The 23,055-nt window shown below is 41.2% G+C and overlaps 1 protein-coding gene and 1 non-coding gene across 30 annotated transcripts in view; one reads left to right on the forward strand and one right to left on the reverse strand.

The window, feature by feature from the left end:
- The window catches only part of GALNT11 (polypeptide N-acetylgalactosaminyltransferase 11), a 96,667-nt gene that overhangs the window by 30,954 nt on the left and 42,658 nt on the right, over positions 1-23,055 (forward strand). For 3 of the 29 annotated variants that reach the window (NM_001371462.1, NM_001371467.1, NM_001371469.1), the window contains exon 2: positions 22,660-22,781. The exons of 17 other annotated variants lie outside the window; for them this stretch is intronic. The gene's annotated coding sequence lies outside the window, so the exon portion shown is untranslated. Of the gene's footprint in view, positions 1-18,409; positions 18,554-19,652; positions 20,000-22,369; positions 22,425-22,659; positions 22,782-22,937; positions 23,043-23,055 lie in introns of those variants that run through there. 9 more of the 29 variants (XM_024446857.2, NM_001371474.1, XM_047420691.1 and 6 more) reach the window with 8 other exon arrangements.
- On the reverse strand, positions 12,273-12,378 carry LOC124901844 (small nucleolar RNA U13). The gene has a single exon (XR_007060679.1). It is a non-coding gene; the product is annotated as a small nucleolar RNA U13 (small nucleolar RNA).

Below are 23,055 nucleotides of genomic sequence, written 5' to 3' on the forward strand. Positions count from 1 at the left end.
CAGAAGTAAAAAGAAAATAGTTAACATATACAGAGACACACACCAAACCCATGAGAATGGACTCTGGAGGCTGTGTCCTTTGACTCCATGGACAAGACTCAACTAAATCATGTGGACACATTATAACCTCTAGAAACCAATATGCATACAGAACCCTGCACCTGGGTGTCAGGTGTCAGGGTTAAAGGAACGGTAGTTTGTTGGGTCAGATACTTTTTTTTTTTTTGAGACAGGTTCTTGCTTCACCTACTCAGGCTGGAGTGCAGTACATGATCACTTGGCTCACTGCAGCCTTGACCTCCCCAGGCTCAAGTGATCCTTCCACCTCAGCCTCCCAAGTAGCTGGGACCACAGGTGTGTGCCAGCATGCCCAGCTATTTTTTTTTTTTTTTTTTTTTTTGGTGTTCTTTGTAGCGACAGGGTTTTGCGATGTTGCCCAGGCCAGTCTTGAATTCCTGGGCTCAAGCTGTGTGCCTGCTGGGCCTCTCAAAGTACTGGGATTACAGGCATGAGCCACTGCACCTAGCCCAGATACTTTCTTTTTTAAAAAGCATATCATGGAAATTTTCAGACATGAAGAAAGTAATAGATTTTAAAAAATCTATTAGTAATTTTTTTTTTAACCTATAGCCCTGCCCTTCTTGGTTAATTGAAGCAAATCTCAGATATTAGATGATTTTTCCTTTTTTTTTTTTTTGAGATGGAGTTTCACTCTGTTGCCCAGGCTGGAGTGCAGTGGTGCCATCTCGGTTTACTGCAACCTCTGCCTCCCAGGTTTGAGCTATTCTCTTGTCTCAGCCTCCTAAGTAGCTGGGATTACAGGCGCCTGCTACCATGCCCGGCTAAATTTTGTATTTTTAGTAGAGATAGGGTTTCACCATGTTGGCCAGGCTGGTCTCAAATTCCTGACCTCAAATGACCCACCCGCCTCAGCCTCCCAAAGTGCTGGGATTGTAGGTGTGAACCACCGTGCCCGGCCAGAATTAGATGATTTTGGTGATGCAAAATAATCTATGTCCTGACCCCCGTTCTTTTTAAAATAAACTTTTAGTTTTAGCGTAGCCTTAGATTTACAGAATATTGTGAAGATAGTAGAGAATTCCCACATATCCCATATCCAATTTCCCCTGTTATTAACATCTTACATTAATATGGTACGTGTATTTCAGTTAATGCTAATGTCCATACTGTATTCAGATTTTCTTAGTTTTTACCTAATGTGCTTTTGCTGTTCTAAGGACAATAGGTAAAAGCTAAGGCTCTCATGCAGGATACCACACTGTATTTGGTCATTGTGTCTCCTTAGGCTCTTCTTGGCTGTGACAGTTTCTCACACTTTCCTCGTTTTTGATGACCCTGACAGTTTTGAGAAATACAGGCATATGCTGGTGATACTGTGGGTTCGGTTCTGAGCCACTGCAATAAAGGGACTATCACAAAGTGAATCACACACATTTTTTGGGGGGGTGCATATAAAAGTTATGTTTACACTATACCGTAGTCTTTTAAGTGTGCAATAGCATTATAGCTTAAAAAAAAAGCCCAATGTGCATGCCTTAATTTTAAAAATGCTTTATTGTTCAAAAATGCTAATGATCATCTGAGCCTTCAGTGAGTGGTAATCTTTTTGCTGGTGAGAGTCTTGCCTTAACATTGATGCCTGCTGATGCTTCCTGAAGGTTAGGATGGCTGTGGCAAGTTCTTTTTGTTTTGTTTTGTTTTGTTTTGTTTTTTTGAGATGGAGTCTTGCTCTGTTGCCCAGGTTGGTGCCATCTCGGCTCACCGCAACCTCTGCCTCCCGGTTCAAGCGATACTCCTGCCTCAGCCTCCCGAGTAGCTGGGACTACAGGCATGCGTCACCATACCCGGCTAATTTTTTTGTATTTTTAGTAGAGATGGGGTTTCACCATGTTGGCCAGGCTGGTCTCAAATTCCTGACCTCAAATGATCCGCCTGTCTCGGCCTCCCAAACTGCTGGGATTACAGGCGTGAGCCACTGTGCCTGGCCAAGTTCTTAAAATAAGACGGAAGTAAAGTCTGACTCATCGATTGACTTTCCATTCATGAAAGATTTTTCTGTAGCTGTTTGATAGCAATTTACCCACAGTAGAACTTCTTTCAAAATTAGAGTCAATCCTCTAAAACCCTGCTGCTACTTTATCAACTAAATTTAGTAATCTGCTTTTTGTTATCGTTTCAACAGTGTTCACAGCATCATCACCAGGAGCGATTCCATTTCAAGAAACCATTTATTTGCACATCCATATCTTCCGTCTCTATTTCTAATTCTGGTTCTCTTGCTATTTCCACCCTATCTGCAGTGACGTACTCCACTGAAGTCTTGAACCTGTCGGTCAAGGTTGGAACCAACTTCTTCTAAACTCCCGTTAATATTGACATTTTGTAGTTCTGGCAAATGTGGAATAAAAAAATAAATGATATTTTGACCTCCTCGAATGAATGGGTTTTTGTTGTTGTTGTTTTGTGAGATACAGTTTTGCTTTGTCACCCAGGCTGGAGTGCAGTGCTGCAGTCATAGCTCACTGCAGCTTCAAACTTCTGGGTTCAAGCAGTCCTCCCGCCTCAGCCTCCCGAGTTGTTGGGACTACAGGCATGTGCCACCATGCCCAACTTTTTTTTTTGTATTTTTTTTTTGTAGCGATTGGGTCTCACTCTGTTGTCCAAGCTGGTCTTGAACTCTAGGCCTCAAGTAACCCTCCCACCTCCACCTCCAAAAGAGTTGGGATTACAGGCATGAGACACCATACCTGGCTATAAATGTTCTTAATGGCATCTAGAATGATAAAGCTTTTCCAGAAAGTTTTCAATTTATTTTGCACAGATCCACCAAAGGAATCACTGTCTGTGACAGCTATAGTCTTACGCAATTTATTTCTTAAATAATTAGACTTGAAAGTAGAAATTACTCCTTGATCCATGGGCTGCAGAATGGACAGTGTGTTAGCAGGCATGAAAACAACATTTATCTCCTTGTATATATCCATGAGAGTTTTGGGGTGACTAGGTATGTTGTCAGTGAGCAGTGATATTTTGAAAGCAATCTTTCTGATTAGTAGGTCTCAACAGTGGGCTTAATATATTCAGTAAATCATGCTGTAAAACAGATGTTCTGTCATCCAGGCTTTGTTGTTCCATTTCTAGAGCACAGGCAGAGTAGATTTTGCATAATTCTTAAAGGCCCTGAGATTTTCAGAATGGTAAGTGAGCATTGGCTTCAACTTAAAGTCACCAGCTGCATCAGCCCCTAACAAGAGAGTCACCCTATTTGGAAGCCGGACATTGATATCTCTAGCTATGAAAGGTTCTAAATGGCATCTCCTTCCAATAGATGGCTGTTTAGTCTGCATTGAAAATATATTGTTTAGTGTAGCCATCCTCATCAGTGATCTTAGCTAGATCTTTTGGATAACTTGCTGCAGCTTCTCCATCAGCACTTGCTGCCTCACCTTACACTTTTATGTTGTGGAGATGATATCTTTTTAAACCTCATGAGCAATTCTTTGCCAGTTTCAAACATTTCTTCTGCAGCTTCCTTACTTTTCTCAGTCTGCATAGAATTGAAGAGAATTAGGGACTTGCCCTAAGACTGGTTTAAAGGAATATTTTGGCTGGTTTGATCTTCTATCTGGAGCACTAAAGCTTTCTCCATATCCGCATTGATGCTGTGTCACTTTCTTATTCCTGTGTTCACTGGCATAGCACTTTTAATTCCCTTCAAGAATTTTCCTTTGCGTTCACAACTTGGCTGTTTGGTGCAAGAGGCCTAGCTTTCAGCCCATCTTGGCTTTCCACATGCCTTCCTCACTAAGCTAAATTACTGGTAGTTTTTTTTTTTATATATATATACTTTAATTTCTAGGGTACATGTGCACAACGTGCAGGTTTGTTACATATGTATACATGGGCCATGTTGGTGTGCTGCACTCATTAACTCGTCATTTACATTAGGTATATCTCCTAATGCTATCCCTCCCCCCCCTCCACCCCACGACAGACCCTGGTGTGTGATGTTCCCCTTCCTGTTTCCAAGTGTTCTCATTGTTCAATTCCCACCTATGAGTGAGAACATGCGGTGTTTGGTTTTTTGTCCTTGCAGTAGTTTGCTGAGAATGATGGTTTCCAGCTTCATCCATGTCCCTACAAAGGACATGAACTCACCCTTTTCTATGGCTGTATAGTATTCCATGGTGTATATGCGCCACATTTTCTTAATCCAGTCTATCATTGATGGACATTTGGGTTGGTTCCAAGTCTTTGCTATTGTGAATAGTGACACAATAAACATACGTGTGCATGTGTCTTTATAGCAGCATGATTTATAATCCTTTGGGTATATACCCAGTAATGGGATGGCTGGGTCAAATGGTATTTCTAGTTCTAGATCCTTGAGGAATCACCACACTGTCTTCCACAATGGTTGAACTAGTTTACAGTCCCACCAACAGTGTAAAAGTGTTCCTATTTCTCCACATCCTCTCCAGCACCTGTTGTTTCCTGACTTTTTAATGATCGCCATTCTAATTGGTGTGAGATGGTATCTCATTGTGGTTTTGATTTGCATTTCTCTGATGGCCAGTGATGATGAGCATTTTTTCATGTGTCTATTGTCTGCATAAATGTCTTCTTTTGAGAAGTGTCTGTTCATATCTTTCGCCCACTTTTTGATGGGGTTGTTTGTTTTTTTCTTGTAAGTTTGTTTGAGTTATTTGTAGATTCTAGATATTAGCCCTTTGTCAGATGAGTAGATTGTAAAATTTTTCTCCCATTCTGTAGGTTGCCTGTTCACTCTGATGGTAGTTTCTTTTGCTGTGCAGAAGCTCTTTAGTTTAATTAGATCCCATTTGTCAATTTTGGCTTTTGTTGCCATTGCTTTTGGTGTTTTAGACATGAAGTCCTTGGCCATGCCTATGTCCTGAATGGTATTGCCTAGGTTTTCTTCTAGGGTTTTTATGGTTTTAGGTCTAACATTTAAGTCTCCAATCCATCTTGAATTAATTTTTGTATAAGGTGTAAGGAAGGGATCCAGTTTCAGCTTTCTACTTATGGCTAGCCAGTTTTCCCAGCACCATTTATTAAATAGGGAATCCTTTCCCCATTTATTGTTTTTGTCAGGTTTGTCAAAGATCAGATGGTTATAGATGTGTGGTATTATTTCTGAGGGCTTTGTTCTGTTCCATTGGTCTATATCTCTGTTTTGGTACCAGTACCATGCTGTTTTGGTTACTGTAGGCTTGTAGTATAGTTTGAAGTCAGATAGCATGATGCCTCCAGCTTTGTTCTTTTGGCTTAGGATTGTCTTGGCAATGTGGGCTCTTTTTTGGTCCCACATGAACTTTAAAGTAGTTTTTTCCAATTCTGTGAAGAAAGTCATTGGTAGCTTGATAGGGATGGCATTGAATCTATAATTATCTTGGGCAGTATGGCCATTTTCACGATATTGATTCTTCCTATCCATGAGCATGGAATGTTCTTCCATTTGTTTGTGTCCTCTTTTATTTCATTGAGCAGTGGTTTGTAGTTCTCCTTGAAGAGATCCTTCACATCCCTTGTAAGTTGGATCCCTAGGTATTTATTCTCTTTGAAGCAATTGTGAATGGGAGTTCACGCATGATTTGGCTGTCTGTTACTGGTGTATAAGGATCCTTGTGATTTTTGCACATTGATTTTGTATCCTAAGACTTTGCTGAAGTTGCTTATCAGCTTAAGGAGATTTTGGGCTGAGACGATGAGGTTTTCTAAATATACAATCATGTCATCTGCAAACAGGGACAATTTGACTTCCACTTTTCCTAATTGAATACCCTTTATTTCTTTCTCCTGCCTGATTGCCCTGGCGAGGACTTCCAACAGTATGTTGAATAGGAGTGGTGAGAGAGGGCATCCCTGTCTTGTGCCAGTTTTCAAAGGGAATGCTTCCAGTTTTTGCCCATTCAGTATGATATTGGCTGTGGGTTTGTCATAAATAGCTCTTACTATTTTGAGATACATCCCATCAATACCTAATTTATTGAGAGTTTTTAGCATGGAGGGCTGTTGAATTTTGTCAAAGGCCTTTTCTGCATCTATTGAGATAATCGTGTGGTTTTTGTCTTTGTTCCGTTTATATGGTAGATTACGTTTATTGATTTTCATATGTTGAACCAGCCTTGCATCCCAGGGATGAAGCCCACTTGATCATGGTGGATAAGCTTTTTGATGTGCTGCTGGATTTGGTATGCAAGTATTTTATTGAGGATTTTTGCATCGGTGTTCATCAGGGATATTGGTCTAAAATTCTCTTTTTTTGTTGTGTCTCTGCCAAGCTTTGGTATCAGGATGATGCTGGCTTCATAAAATGAGTTAGGGAGGATTCCCTCTTTTTCTATTGATAGGAATAGTTTCAGAAGGAATGGTACCAGCTCCTCCTTGTACTTCTGGTAGAATTCAACTGTGAATCCATCTGGTCCTGGACTTTTTTTTGTTGGTAGGCTATTAAGTATTGCCTCAATTTCAGAGCCTGTTATTTTCCTATTCAGGGATTCAACTTCTTCCTGGTTTAGTCTTGGGAGGGTGTATGTGTCCAGGAATTTATCCATTTCTTCTAGATTTTCAGTTTATTTGTGTAGAGGTGTTTATAGTATTCTCTGATGGTAGTTTGTATTTCTGTGGGATCGGTGGTGATATCCCCTTTATCATTTTTTATTGCGTCTATTTGATTCTTCTCTTTTTTCTTCATTAGTCTTGCTAGCGGTCTATCAATTTTGCTGATCTTTTCAAAAAACCAGCTCCTGGATTCATTGATTTTTTTGAAGGGTTTTTTGTGTCTCTATCTCCTTCAGTTCTGCTCTGATCTTGGTTATTTCTTGCCTTCTGCTAGCTTTTGAATGTGTTTGCTCTTGCTTCTCTAGTTCTTTTAATTGTATGTTAGGGTGTCAATTTTAGATCTTTCCTGCTTTCTTTTGTGGGCATTTAGTGCTATAAATTTCCCTCTACCCACTGCTTTAAATGTGTCCCAGAGATTCTGGTATGTTGTGTCTTTGTTCTCATTGGTTTCAAAGAACATCTTTATTTCTGCCTTCATTTCATTATGTACCCAGTAGTCATTCAGGAGCAGGTTGTTCAGTTTCCATGTAGTTGAGCGGTTTTGAGTGAGTTTCTTAATCCTGAGTTCTAGTTTGATTGCACTGTGGTCTGAGAGACAGTTTCTTATAATTTCTGTTCTTTTACATTTGCTGAGGAGTACTTTACTTCCAACTATGTGGTCAATTTTGGAATAAGTGTGATGTGCTGAGAAGAATGTATATTCTGTTGATTTTGGGTAGAGAGTTCTGTAGATGTCTATTAAGTCCGCTTAGTGCAGAGCTGAGTTCAATTCCTAGATATCCTTGTGAACTTTGTGTCTCATCGATCTGTCTAATGTTGACAGTGGGGTGTTAAAGTCTGCCATTATTATTGTGTGGGAGTCTAAGTCTCTTTGTAGGTCTCTAAGGACTTGCTTTATGAATCTGGGTGCTCCTGTATTGGGTGCATATATATTTAGGGTAGTTAGCTCTTCTTGTTGAATTGATCCCTTTACCGTTATGTGATGGCCTTGTCTCTTTTGATCTTCATTGGTTTAAAGTCTGTTTTATCAGAGACTAGGATTGCAACCCCTGCCTTTTTTTGTTTTCCATTTGCTTGGTAGATCTTCCTCCATCCCTTTATTTTGAGCCTATGTGTGTCTCTGCACATGAGATGGGTCTCCTGAATATAGCACACTGATGGGTCTTGACTCTTTATCCAATTTGCCAATCTGTGTTGTTTAATTGGAGCATTTAGCCCATTTACATTTAAGGTTAATATTGTTATGTGTATTTGATCCTGTCATTATGATGTTAGCTGGTTATTTTGCTTGTTTGTTGATGCAGTTTCTTCCTAGCATTGATGGTCTTTACAATTTGGCATGTTTTTGCAGTGTCTGGTACCGGTTGTTCCTCTCCATCTTTAGTGCTTCCTTCAGGAGCTCTTTTAGGGCAGGCCTGATGGTGACAAAATCTCTCAGCATTTGCTTGTCTGTAAAGGATTTTATTTCTCCTTCACTTATGAAGCTTAGTTTGGCTGGATATGAAATTCTGGGTTGAAATTTCTTTTCTTTAAGAACGTTGAATATGGTCCCCACTCTCTTCTGGCTTGTAGAGTTTCTGCTGAGAGATCCGCTGTTAGTCTGATGGGCTTCCCTTTGTGGGTAACTCGACCTTTGTCTCTGGCTGCCCTTAACATTTTTTCCTTCATTTCAAATTTGGTGAATCCGCCAATTATGTGCCTTGGAGTTGCTCTTCTCAAGGAGTATCTTTGTGGCGTTCTCTGTATTTCCTGAATTTGAATGTTGGCCTGCCTTGCTAGGTTGGGGAAATTCTCCTGGATAATATCCTGCAGAGTGTTTTCCAACTTGGTTCCATTCTCCCCGTCACTTTCAGGCACACCAATCAGACGTAGATTTGGTCTTTTCACATAGTCTCATATTTCTTGGAGGCTTCGTTCATTTCTTTTTACTCTTTTTTCTCTAAACTTCTCTTCTTGCTTCATTTCATTCATTTGATCTTCAATTACTGATACCCTTTCTTCCAGTTGATCTAATCAGCTATTGAAGCTTGTGCATTCATCACGTAGTTCTCGTGCCATGGTTTTCAGCTCCATCAGGTCATATAAGAACTTCTCTACATTCTAGTTAGCCATTTGTCTAATCTTTTTTCAAGGTTTTTAGCTTCTTTGCGATGCATTCGAACTTCCTCCTTTAGCTCGGAGTAGTTTGATCGTCTGAACCCTTCTCTCAACTCGTCAAAGTCATTCTCCATCCAGCTTTGTTCTATTGCTGGTGAGGAACTGCATTCCTTTGGAAGGGGAGAGGCACTCTGATTTTTAGAATTTTCAGCTTTTCTGCTGTGTTTTTCCTATCTTTGTGGTTTTATCTACCTATGGTCTTTGATGATGGTGACGTACAGATGGGATTTCGGTGTGAATGTCCTTTCTGTTTGTTAGTTTTCCTTCTAACAGTCAGGACCCTCAGCTGCAGGTCTGTTGGAGTTTGCTGGAAGTCCACTCCAGACCCTGTTTGCCTGGGTATCAGCAGCAGAGGCTGCAGAACAGCAAATATTGATGAACAGTAAATGTTGCTGCCTGATTTTTCCTCTGAAAGCGTCATCTCAGAGGGGTACCCAGCTATGTGGGGTGTCAGTGTGCCCCTACTGGGAGGTGCCTCCCAGTTAGGCTACTTGGGGGTCAGGGACTCACTTGAGGAGGCAGTCTGTCCATTCTCAGATCTTAAACTCTGTGCTGGGAGAACCACTACTCTATTCAAAGTTGTCAGACAGGGACATTTAAGTCTGCAGAGGTTTCTGCTGCCTTTTGTTTGGCTACGCCCTGCCCCCAGAGGTGGAGTCTACAGAGGCAGGCAGGCCTTGAGCTGCGGTGGGCTCCACCCAGTTTGAGCTTCCTGGCTGCTTTGTTTACCTACTCAAGCCTCAGCAATGGCGGGCACCCCTCCCCCAGCCTCGCTGCTGCCTTGCAGTTCGATCTCAGACTGCTGTGTTAGCAATGAGCAAGGCTCCGTGGGCGTGGGACCCTCCGAGCCAGGCATGGGATGTAATCTCCTGGTGTGCCATTTGCTAAGACCATTGGAAGAGCACAGTATTAGGGTGGGAGTGACCCTATTTTCAAGGTACCGTCTGTTACAGCTTCCCTTGGCTAGGAAAGGGAATTCCCTGACCCCTTGCAGTTCCCAGATGAGGCGATGCCTCGCCCTGCTTTGGCTCACACTCAGTAGGCTGCACCCACTGTCCTGCACCCACTGTCCAACAAGCCCCAGTGAAATGAACCCGGTTACCTCAGTTGGAAATGCAGAAATCACCCGTCTTCTGCGTCACTCACGCTGGGAGCTGTAGACTGGAGCTGTTCCTATTTGGCCATCTTGGAACCACCCCCAATCACTTGTAGTTTTTTATTTAAAGTGAGAGATGTGTGACTCTTCCTTTCCCTTGAACACTTATAAGCCATTGTAGGGTTATTAATTGTCTGGATTTCAAAACGGTTTTGTCTTAGGGAACAGGGAGGCCCAAGGAGTTGGGGAAAGACAAAGGAATGGCTGGTTTGGTTGAGCAGTGAGAACACACACATTTATTGAGTAAGTTCCCTGTTTCACATCTGCACGTGGTTCCTTGTGTCCCAAAACAATTACAGGAGTAACATCAAAGATCATCGACACAGATCACATAACAAATATCATAGTAATAAAAAAGTTGAAATATCCTGAGTATTCGCAAAACGTAACACCGAAACACGAAGTAAACAAATACTGATGGGAAAATGGTGTTCATATACTTGGTCAATGCAGGGTTGCCACAACCCTTCAATTTGTAAAACAAACAAACAAAAACCACAACGTCAACGAAGCACAATAAAGTGAAATGTTTAAATGAGGTATACCTCCACTGGTCAGGTATCTTGTAGATGTCCCTCAGTTGGGATTTGTTTCATGTTTTGGGGAGGAAGACTACAGAGGTCAAATGCCATTGTCATCATACCATATTAAGGATACATACTATCTGTGCATATCACTATTTAGAGTAATCTCAATTACCTGGCTGAGGCAGTGGTTGTCAGGTTTCTCCACTGTAAAGTTTCTCCCCACCCTCCCTTCTTGTACTGTAGTCCTTTGGAAGAAAGTCCATGTGCACAGCCCACCCTTGAGGGCGAAGTGTCTAAATTATTTGGAATTCTGTGTGGAGATCTGTTATAGTCTGTCCTGTTTACTATTTAGTCATTTATTTCTCTCAGTTTGGATTTAGGGACGTTTATTTTATACTTTGGGCTATAATGCAATACAACTTTATTTTTTTGTTCAGATGATTGTCACAGCTACGGCTATTACGAGCTCTTCATTTGGTTCCATCTGTCCCTTTGATGTGCCCCCGACATTGTAGTTTTTGTTTGTTTTATTGAGCACTTCCTTATTTTCTGGCACTGCAAGAGCCATCTTGCACATTTCCTGTCCCAGTCTTAGAATCTGCCATTTTTCTAAGGACTTCTGGTCCTTTTTTATTGGAGAATGATATTAAAAACCAAGAACTGGGTGTGTGTTAAGCCATTCTTGCATTACTATAAAGAAATACCAGAGACTGGGTAATTCATAAAGAAAAGAGGTTTAATTGGCTCAGGGTTCTGCAGGCTTTACGGGAAGCATGGTGCTGGCATCTGCTTGGCTTCTAGGAAGGCCTCGGGAAGCATCCAATCATGGCAGAAGGTGAAGGGGGAGCAGACACGTCACATGGTGAAAGCAGGAGCAAGCAAGAGAGAGTGGTAGGGGAGGTGCCACATACTTTTAAATGACCAGATCTTGCAAGAACTCCCTGTCAGCAAGTCAGCAGCAAGCCATGAGGGATCGATTCACCCCCATGATCCAAGCATCTCCCACCAGGCCCCACCTCCAGCACTGGATCATGTATCTGCCTCTGTCATATTACACAGAAGTTGCCCTGCCCTAAAAATTCCCCTGTGCTTCATATTGAACCCTCTGCCTCCCCACCCTATGAGCCCCTGACTACTACTGATCTCTTTATCATCTCTATAGTTTTACCTTTTCCAGAATGTCATACAATGGAAAGCATTCAATATGTAGCCTTTTCAAGTTGGCGTCCTTCATTTAGCAATATGCATTTCAGTTTTTTTCACATCTTTGTGTAGTTTGATAGTTCTTCTTTTTGCTGAATAAAACTCCATTGTATGGATGTACCACTGTTCATTCATCTTTTGAGGGACCTCTTAGTTGTTTGCTTCCAAGTTTTGACGGTTATAAATAAAGCTGCTGTAAGGTTTCATATGCAGGTTTTTGTGTTGGTGAGTTTTGATAGTTTAAAGAAATTGGTACATTTTTTCTTGCATTTGTGGGCATAGAGTTATTTGTAATATTTCTTTATTATCCTTTTACTGTTCATGGGAACAGTATGATGACTGGTTCTTCATTGCTGATATTGGTAATTTGTCTTTTCTCTTTTTTCTAAGGGAAGAGAGGGTACAATCTAATCAGTTTTACCTGGCTAGAGGTTTATCACTTTTTTTGATCTTTTTAAAGAACCAGCTTTTGGTTTTGTTAATTTTTCTCTTACTGTTTTCCTTTTTCCAATTTCATTGATTTCTATTTTAATTTTTATTGTATTTTTTTCTTTTGATTGCCTTAGGCTTAAATTGTTTTCCTTTTTATTTTTAATTTTTTAATTTTTAATTTTCTAGTAAGTTCATGTCAGACAAGTAAAATGGGCTGACTTCGTAATAAGATTTGAGGGAGGCATATTTCCCACAAGCACATGAAAACCCAGTCACCACACTTATGAACTACAAAAGAATCAAATTGTTCTTCTTTCTCTGGTTTTCAGAAGTGCAAGCTTAGATCTTTCTTCCTAATATTTTCATTTAATGCTGCACGTTTTTCTCTAAACACTGTGTGCTTTGTATCCCACAAATGTTGATGAGTTATATTTTCATTTTTACTTTAGTTCAATATATTGTTTAATTTTTGAGACTTCTTAGACCCATGGGTTATTTAGAAATGTGTTAATTTCTAGATATTGGGGGATTTTCCAGATATCTCCGTTACTGATTTCTAGTTTAATTATGTTATTTGAGACCATGTTTTGTATGCTTTCTAGTCTTGAATCTGTTAAGATGTGTTTTATGGTCCAGAATGTGGTCTATATTGGTGAATGTGAGCTAGAGAAGAATGTATATCTACCATGATTGGATGGAATTTTCTATAAACGTCATTTAGATCAGGTTGATTGATAGTGCTGTGCTGTTCTAGTTATCAGTTTCTTTACTGATTTTCTGGCTGCTTGATCTGTCAGTAACTGACAGTGTTGAAGTCTCCAACTGTAGTAGTGGATTTGTCTCTGTATATTTTTCTTAGTTTTGCCTCATGTATTATGATGCCTTCTTATTTGAAGCATACACATTCAAGACTGTTACGTCTTCTTGGAGAACCGACCTCTTTATCATTATATAAGATCCTTTTTGTCCCTGATTATCAGACAAAATCTGTTTTGTCTGCAGTTACAATTACTCCAGCTTTCTTTTGATTTGTAATGTCAGCATGATATATCTTTCTCCATCCCTTTACTGTTAGCATATCTAAAGCTTTATAGTTCAAGTTGGTTTCTTACAGACATGATATAGTTAGGTCTTTTTAAAAAATTTTGTCCACTGTGACACTCTCTTTTGATTGGTGTATTTAGACAATTCACGTTAGAAGTGATTATTAATATTGTTGGATTAGCATCTTCCATCTTTGTAACTGTTTTGCACTCATTGCTTTTTTCTTTCTTTTTTCTTTTTTCTTTTTCTTTTTCTTTTTTTTTTTGAGACAGAGTCTCCCTCTGTTGCCCAGGCTGGAGAGCAGTGGTGTGATCTTGGCTCACTGCAAGCTCCGCCTCCCGGGTTCACACCATTTTCCTGCCTCAGCCTCCCAAGTAGCTGGGACTATAGGTGCCCGCCACCACGCCCAGCTAATTTTTTGTATTTTTAGTGGAGACAGGGTTTTACTGTGTTAGCCAGGATGGTCTCGATCTCCTGACCTCATGATCCGCTTGCTTTGTCCTCCCAAAGTGCTGGGATTACAGGTGTGAGCCACCGCGCCTGGCCTTTTATTTCTTTTTAATTGGACATTTTATGTGATTCAACTTTATCTCCTCTCTTATCTTGTATGAGCTTCCTATTCTTACAGCACAACTTATCACACAGTTCTGGAAGTCAGAAGTCTGAAAAGCATCTCAGGGGACTAAACTCAAGGTGTTGGCAGGGCTGTTTCACTTTTTTGAGGTTCTGGGAGAGCATCTGTTTCCTTGCCCTATTGAGAAGCCACCTGCAGTCCTTGGCTTGTGGCCCTTTTCTTCCATCTTCAAAGCTAGCAGTAGGTCAAGTTCTTCTCACATTGTATCAACTCTGATCTCCTCTTTTGCCTCCCTCTTTCACATTTAAGGACCCTTGTAATTATATTGGGTCTACCCACATAATCCAGAATAATCTCTGTATTTTAACGTCATCTGAGTAGCAACTTTAATCTCATCTGCTACCTTAATTCTGGGGATTAGGATGTGTACATTTCTGAGGGGACCATTATCGGGGAATCTGCCCCAATATTCACGTAGGTTCTTTTCTATTTTCCTTAAGCGTAGGCCAGCTTGAGAAATAAAGGGACAGAGTACAAAAGAGAGAAATTTTAAAGCTGGGCGTCCGGGGGACACATCACATGCCGGTAGGTTCCGTGATGCCCAACAAGCCACAAAAACCAGCAAGTTTTTATTAGGGATTTTCAAAAGGGGAAGGGAGTGTGCAAATAGGTGTAGGTCACAGACATCAAGTACTTTACAAGGTAATAGAATATCACAAGGCAAGTGGAGGCAGGGAGAGATCACAGGACTACAGGACTGGGGTGAAATTAAAATTGCTAATGAAGTTTCGGGCACCATTGTCATTGATAACATCTTACCAGGAGACAGGGTTTTAAGATCAACCAGTCTGACCAAAATTTATTAGGCAGGAATTTCCTCTTCCTAATAAGCCTGGGAGCGCTATGGGAGACTGGGGTCTATTTCAGCCCTGTATTCTCAACCATAAGAGACGGGCACACCTGGGGGTGCTGTTTATAAGCGTATACCTCCAGGCACGTATTCTCTTTCCCAGGGATGTTCCTTGCTGAGAAAAAGAATTCAGCGATATTTCTCCCATTTGCTTTTGAAAGAAGAGAAATATGGTTCTGTTCCACCCGGCTCACCGGCGGTCAGAGTTTAAGGTTATCTCTCTTATTCCCTGAACAATTGCTGTTATCCTGTTCTTTTTTCAAGGTGCCCAGATTTCATATTGCTCAAACACACATGCTGTACAATTTGTGCAGTTAATGCAATTATCATAGGTCCTGGGGCAACATACATCTTCCTCAGCTGACAGGATTAAGAGATTAAAGTAAAGACAGGCATAGGAAATCACAAGGGTATTGATTGGGGAAGTGATAAGTGTCCACGAAATCTTCACAATTTATGTTTAGAGATTGCAGTAAAGACAGGCATAAGAAATTATAAAAGTATTAATTTGGGGAACTAATAAATGTCCATGAAATCTTCACAATCCACGTTCTTCTGCCATGGCTTCAGCTAGTCCCTCTGTTTGGGGTCCCTGACTTCCTGCAACAGACCATTATTCTGTCAGTTACGATGTAGCATGTCAATTATACTTCTTTTAAAAAGTTTTTAGGAGGCTGAGGCAGGAGAATCACTTAAACTTGGGAGGCGGAGGTTGCAGTGAGCCAAGATCATGCCACTGCATTCCAGCCTGGGCAGCAAGAGCAAAACTCTGTCTCAAAAAAAAAAAAAAAAAAAAAGTTTTTAAGCTGGGTGCTGTGGCTCACCCCTGTAATCCCAGGATTTTGGGAGGCCAAGGCAGGTGGATCACTTGAGGTCAGGAGTTTGAGACCAGCCTGGCCAACATGATGAAACCCCATCTCTACTAAAAACACAAAATTAGCTGGGCATGTTGGCGCACGTCTGTTGTCCCAGCTACTCAGGAGGCTGAGGCAGAAGAATTGCTTCAACCTGGGAGGTGGAGGTTGCAGTGAGCCAAGATTGTGCCACTTCCAGCCTAGGTGACAGAGTGAGACTCCGTCTCAAAAAAAAAAAAAAAAAAGAAAAAAGAAATTCTAATGTGTAGAAAGCAAAAGTTCCTCTTCAAAGCTTCCCCTTTAAATCATAAATGTTATTGATATCTTTTCTCAGAACTAACTTTCTTCAAGTTTCTTATTTTATAGTAATAACTCTCTGTTAAGCCTTATGTAGCAAATGTGACAGAATAAGCATACTCTGACTTCAGTATCTGTGTTAAACATGCTCACAGGCACATAATACATTTTGTGTCCTTGTTCCTTAGTCAAATTATTCGTGCTGAATGTGCCCAGGCATGTCCCAGCTTGCAGCCTCCTCCCTTATTTGGGAATATTATTACTTTGTAAATCCTTTCGTAAGTAACTTCCTTTTTTCCTTTGTTCCTCACTGCCTTTACCTGTTTAGAAAAGTTTTGAACTGTTAGCCAATCGGGTTTTAGTTTAGATTGTGAGGTCTGGCTCCAGCCAATGGAGTCAGAACACAGCAATAGGGACCTCATGCGTAAAGGATAAATATTCTAGTGTCTTTTTTACTTTGTGTGTGCTTGTGGCAGGATTGCTGACGGGCACCACCCTTTCTGCAGAGAGTAAACATCGCCTTGCTAAGGAAACTTTTTGTCTGATTGCTGATTCTTCTCTGCGACATCGGGGAATAAGCATTTATTTCCAACATAGTGTTTACTCTAGAGTTTACAATATACATTTTATTTTATTTTTCAATTGGCATATAATTGTGTATATTTATGGGGTACATAGTGATGTTTCTATATACGTAACGTATCAGTGATCAGATCAGAGTAATTAGCATATCCATCATCTCATACATTTATCATTTCTTTGTGTTGGGAACATTCAATATTCTCCTTATAGCTATTTGAAACTCTACAATATGTTATTGTTAACTATAGTCATCCTAGAGTGCTATAGACCAGTAGAACTTATTCCTCCTATCTAGCTATAATTTTGTAACCTTTAACAAATCTCTTCCTATCTCCTCCCTTCGCCCACCCTTCCCAGCCTCTAGTATCCTCTGTTCTGATTTTTCTGTGAGATCAACTGTTTTTCAGCTTCCACATATGAATGAGAACATGTGGTGTTTAACTTTCTGTTCCTGGCTTATTTCACTTAATATCCTCCAGTTCCATCCATGTTGCTGTGAGTGACAGGATTCCACTCAAATTATGGCTGAATAGTATTTCATTGTGTTTATATTCCACATTTTCTTTATCTGTTTATCTGTTGGACACCCAGATTCATTCCGTATCTTGGCTATTGTGAATAATGCTGCAGTTAACATGGGGATGTAGATGTCTCTTCGATATACCAATTTCCTTTCCTTTGGATAAATGCCCAGTAGTGGGATTGCTGGTTCATATGGTATGCTATTTGTAGATTTTGAGGAGCCTCTATACTGTTTTCCATAGTGGCTGTACTAGTTGATATTCTCACCCGCAGAGTGTAAGAGTTCATTTTTCTCTGCATCCTCCCCAGCATTTGTTGGTTTTGTTTTATTTGTCTTTTTGGTAATAGCCACTCTAACTGGGATGAGATGATACCTCATTGTGCTTCTGATTTGCTGTTCCTTGATGATTTGTGATAAGTGAACATTTTGTCATATATTTCTTGGCCATTTGTCTTCTTTTGAGAGATGGCTATTCAGATCATTTGCCCATTTTTAAATCTGATTTTTTTTTCCTGCTGAGATGTTTTAGTTTCTGGTTTATTCTGGGTATTAATCCCCTTTTGGATGAATAGTTTGCTTATATTTTCTCCCATTCTATAGGTTGTCTTTTCACTCTGCTGATTGTTTCCTTTGCTGTATAGAAGTTTTTTAGTGTGACATAATCCCATGTGTTTGTTTTTGCTTTTGTTGCCTGGGCTTTTGAAGTTGTATTCATAAAATATTTTCCCAGATTAACGTCCTGAGGCATTTCCCCTGTTTTCTTTCAGTAGTTTTATAGTTTCAGGTCTTACATTTAGGTCTTTAATCCATTTTGAGTTGATTTTCACATAGAGGTGGGAGGCTAGTTTCATTCCTCTGCATATGAATATCCAGTTTTCCCAGTATCATCTATTGAAGATACTGTCCTTTCCCCAGTGAGTATTCTTGGCATCTTTGTCAATAATCAGTTGGCTGTAGATATTGTGGATTGATTTCTGGGTTCTCTATTCTGTTCCATTGCTCTGTATATCAGTTTTTATGCCAGTACCATGTTGTTTCCATCACTACAGCTTTGAGGTATATTTTGAAGTCTGGGAGCATGACGCTTCCAGCTTTATAACTTTTTTTTCCTCTTTGAGTTGTAAGCCACTTTTAGTATATTTGGAACCCTGTGGGTGTGGTGGTGAAGTGTGAGGGAGGGTGGGAGTTCTGGAATCTGGTTAAATCTCAGTCTGACAGTGGGTCTGGGTCTCACATAGGTTCACTCTTACAGTGGGCTGTGATCTTCACAAGTATTTCTCTAGCGTTAGAGCTCTTCTCCCCTGTTATCTATTCCTGCCCTATTTCCTTGAGGCCCTGACCTTTGCGGATTTTTTTGCCCTGTAGGTATGACAGGAAGGCTGGAGGGGGCTGGAGTGGGAGGAATGCCCTTTGCATTCCCCTAGTTAGGAGAAGGATCTAGCAAAGTTTTTTTCCCCTGGAGCAAATGACTTTGTGGCAGAGAAAACTCTGGGCTTATTACTCTTCCCCTCCCCTGCCAGAGGGATCTCTCTGGGATCTTTTACCTTAGTGCCTGGTGGAGTTCCTGGAGGTAAAGCCCACAGAAGTGTGGGTCTCGCACCTCCTGAGACTGCTTCCCCGAGTTTCTCACTCTCACTAGTCCACACCGAGCATCCAGCACCAGCTTATGGCTCTGGCAGTTTCTGCTCCAGGTAAGCGGATCTCCTCTGTGTCTTTCCAGGTTTCCAGCACAGTTTGCCCTGTTAGCTCAGTTCTCTGATCGTCCCAAAAGAGCCATTGATTTTGAATTTTCCCAGCTTTTTCTCATTACATGTTGCAGCTGAAAGCGAAGTCACCACCTTGTTTTTAACTTGTATTTTGTGACTTGTTACCACTTCAGTGCTTTAGACACATAGGCTCAGTGCTGCAATATTGTGTCTAGGTTTGATTATGCTAAATTTAACCTTTCTTATGTATCACCGGAGTAGTAAGGATTTCAAACTACCCTGCCTGGTAGCTTTCGCTTTCCTTAGAAAAGCTTATCACTTCTTGACTGGGCCCCGTGGCTCCCGCCCATAATCCCAGCACTTTGGGAGGCCAAGGCAAGGCTGGCGGATCACCTGAGGTCGGGAGTTTGAGACCAGCCTCACCAACATGGAGAAACTCCGTCTACAAAAATACAAGCCGTGGGGTGGCGCATGCCTGTAATCCCAGCTCCTTGGGAGGCTGAGGCAGGAGAATCGCTTGAACCCGGGAGGCGGAGGTTGCGGTGAGCTGAGATTGCGCTGTTGCACTCCAGTCTGGGCAACAAGAGCAAAACTCTGTCTCAAAAAAAAAAAAAAAGACACTTTGGGAGGCCGAGGCGGGCGGATCACGAGGTCAGGAGATCGAGACCATCCTGGCTAACACACTGAAACCCCGTCTCTACTAAAAATACAAAAAAATTAGCTGGCCGTGGTGGCGGACTCCTGTAGTCCTGGCTACTCCGGAGGCTGAGGCAGGAGAATGGCGTGAAGCCGGGAGGTGGAGCTTGCAGTGAGCCGAGATCGTGCCACTGCACTCCAGCCTGGGCGACAGAGCGAGACTCCGTCTCAAAAAAAAAAAAAAAAAAAAAAAAAAAAAGAAGAAGAGAGAAAAGTTCATCGCTTTTTTAATGTTCTGTTCCTGCAAGTATGAAGATATGTTACTGCTTTTCAGAAAAAGCAGTGTGCTTTTTTCTGTGCATTATTTTGCACTTTAAGGCAAGAAAAGCTGTAAAGGCTCTCTTTATTAGATTTTTCATTTAGAAATAAATTAGTTCATCTAAGGATTTGTCAAGTTGTTCCTTTTCTGTTGAAACCTGAATTGATTGGTTTTGGTTCTTCTGGAAGCAGATCTTGAGATAGAAATCTGAATCCAAGTTGTGTATTTGCGAGGTAATCCCAGGACACACCAGTAGGGGAATGAAGTGCGCCGTCTAGGAAAGACAGCCAATAAAGGGCATGTTTTCAAGCCAGGTCCCGCTGTGGACAAATGAAGCTTGATTGTGCTGAGGAATTCTAGAGCCAGTGTAGCATACGTATGTCAGAGTTGTGATTTTTCCACTGGGGGTTTGGAGGGAGGCTGGATTTAAGGAAGCTGGAGTCTTCTTATCAGTATATTGTGAGGACTGCCCTCAGGTAGGTACACATTCCCCTGTAGTTTGGGCCTGCCCTGCACGTGGGCAGATGGGCTTCAGAAGCCAGAGATACAGGTACTGGCAGTTGGAATTCAGAACACTGTGCGGGATAGTAATGCTCAAGGGGACCTGCAAACAACAGTAACTGCGATGTTTATTTACTGGGCTTGGTTAACAGCATGAGCTAGGATCTGGTGATTTGCCAGATTGATTAAGTCTGTCAGCTTTCTAAACCTGTTGAGGTGGTAGATTCTCAGAAATTAATTTTCTATACAGTTCACGATGTATGGAGGAAAAAAGTTTTCTGAAAAAGGCCCATAGCTGGGCATGGTGGCTCATGCCTATAATCCCAATACTTTGGGTGGATGAGGTGAGGATCGCTTGAGCCCAGGAGTTGGAGGCTACAGTAATCTATGATCATAACCACCACACCCCAGCCTGGGTGACAGTGAGACCTTGTCTCAAAAAAAAGGCCCAAGATTCTGTCACAGTTTGATTTGCTGATGTTCTTTTTGGCAGTACCTAGCCTGCACTCTTTGAAATGCCAAAACAACTGTTTAGAAAATAGCCCTGGCCTTGTGCTTCCGATAATGGCCTGAGTAACCTAGTTAAAGCCAGCTGATACTTTTCTGAAAAGCATCAAGGAATTTACAACATAGTAAAGAATTACTGGGTTAAGATTTGGGAGATGATAGAAAACCAGAGACGTGAGCCTCTGACCCAGGGCCGCTTTTGCCCGGCTATTTGCTGTTCTGGAAGAGCAGGTGAGAGGCTGAGCAGTGTAGTTAACTGACTCACAGGAGGACAGAAACAAAAACTGGAGTCTAGAACTTGCTGTGGGTAAGAATCCTGGTGAGCCACCTGGGGTTAATGTTGAAACCTTGAGAGGCTGCCATCCAGAACACTCATGGGCTGGGAGTGTGCCAGCCTTTGCCTGGACTGAAGCTCCATGGGGTCACCTGGGGGTTTAGTAAATCTCAAATGGTGAAATGGATTAGGGTGATCTCAAATTGCTGGTGACCCCAGTCACCTAACAGAGACAGATGAAAATCCTCTCCAGAGGAAGATAACATCTCACGCCTCAAATTATTTCTGAAATGATTTTTCAAATAGTGTCCACCATACCACCAAGTCAGTGTAACCAGGCCCACTGGGAGACTACCTTAACAAGAACCCGCACAGATAACAGAGGATAGAAACAGGCTTTGCAGACAGTGGAATTACCAGACAGACGCTAAAGCATATGTTTATTATGTTCATGGAGATAAAAGTTGAATAAAAACATTTCAACAAGGAACTGGAAACTTAATATAAGGGGGCAAAGCAGACCTGAAAAACAACTAAATACTAGATCTAAAAAATACAGTAGCCAAAATGGAGGATTCAGTGGATTCAGCAGATTAGATACTGCTGAAGAGAAAAGTGAGCCCCCGAGAGATCAGAAGAAACCTCTCTGAATGAAGCGTGAGGGGGGAAGGCTGGACAACACTGAAGAAGCTGTAAGAAATATACTCCATCCTGAGAAAGTCTGACATACGTGATTTGAATCCTAGAAGGAGAAGAGGGAGGGGGGTAGAAGGAATATTTGTTTTTGTGTTTGTTTTTTTTAGACAGAGTTTCACTCTTGTTGCGCAGGCTGGAGTGCAATGGTACAGTATCGGCTTACCCCAAATCCAAGTGATTCTTCTGCCTCAGCCTCCTGAGTATCTGGGATTACAGGCGTATGCCACCATGCCCAGCAAATTTTGTATTTTTAATAGAGACAGGGTTTCTCCATGTTGGTCAGGCTGGTCTTGAACCCCCGACCTCAGATGATCCACCCGCCTCGGCCTCCCAAAGTGCTGGGATGATAGGCATGAGCCACTGCGCCCGGCCGGAAGGAATATTTGAATAAATAATGGCAAAGATTTTTGAAACCCCATGAAAGATGACAATCCACAGAATTAAGAGATTCTTAATATAGCATAAGGTGATTCTTAAAGTTTTCCACTTCTAAGTAATATGCAAATTCATTTTCCTTAGATTGAGCTTCCTTCCCCTCCTCCTTTCTAATTTTAGCAGTGGTTTTCAGAATTCTGCTGAGAGTAAGTGTTTTTCTAACAAGTGATGAATTACATGTTTTTTTTAATCACATTTACAAAATAATTTATGTGCTAGAGTTCCAAAAATTTTGATTGGACAAAAAGGATGCAACTTCTGTTTTGATTGAAGACTGAGAGATAAGAACATCTTAAATAAAAGGCAAGCTTTCCAGACCCAAAGGATTAGTTTATAATGCAGGAATTTCAGCATAATGGGCAGTCAGGGGGCAGAGCCCCTCACTGGCACCACTCAGCCATGGTTTATAGGTAGCTCCTACTCTGTCTCCCTTGCCGACTGGGAAGAATGACTCTCACGGATGAATGGCATAGCTGACACAGGAAAGAGTATGTGTAGGATGCAAGCGAAAACCCTTTAACTAATACTACTATTAATAATTATGTATAACAGCTGGACACAGTAGCATGTGCCCATAGTCATTTTATTTCAATTTATATTATTTGTTTTCCTTACTGTTCTTTTCTACCTCATAGAATTAGGAGGTAGAAACTACTGACCTCATGCTTGCTCCCTGAGGCTAGCTTTTACCTGAGGTAGCTTTTACCTTCTTGTCTTCCACAGGTCTATAGTGAGCGAGAGCTGCTACTTTTTACTTGGGCATTCATTCAAAGTGTTGAAGAATAACAGCCTCTACCATCCCTTATTCACTGGCTCATCAGCTGTCCCAGGTTTTGCTCTTCTAGGTATTTGCCATGTTGTTTGTCCTTTTAGTTTCTTTTCTATGTGTTTGATTAAATTTGCTTCTTTCTCCCATCAGCATTACCTTGTGGTTTTCTTCTGCATTTGAGACACAGTGTTAGACATTTGATGCATTCATGTTCTTTTCGATTGTCTTACAGAGAAGAGATTCATAAATATCAGGGATGTCTGAGGATCATTCCCAGGGAGCATATGATGTCTGGAATTTGCTCTGAACCTTTCCTAATTCAGCAATCGCCTTATGTGTAATTATAAACT

The sequence above is a fragment of the Homo sapiens genome, chromosome 7 (assembly GCF_000001405.40).
Source record: "Homo sapiens chromosome 7, GRCh38.p14 Primary Assembly".
Taxonomy (NCBI): domain Eukaryota; kingdom Metazoa; phylum Chordata; class Mammalia; order Primates; family Hominidae; genus Homo; species Homo sapiens.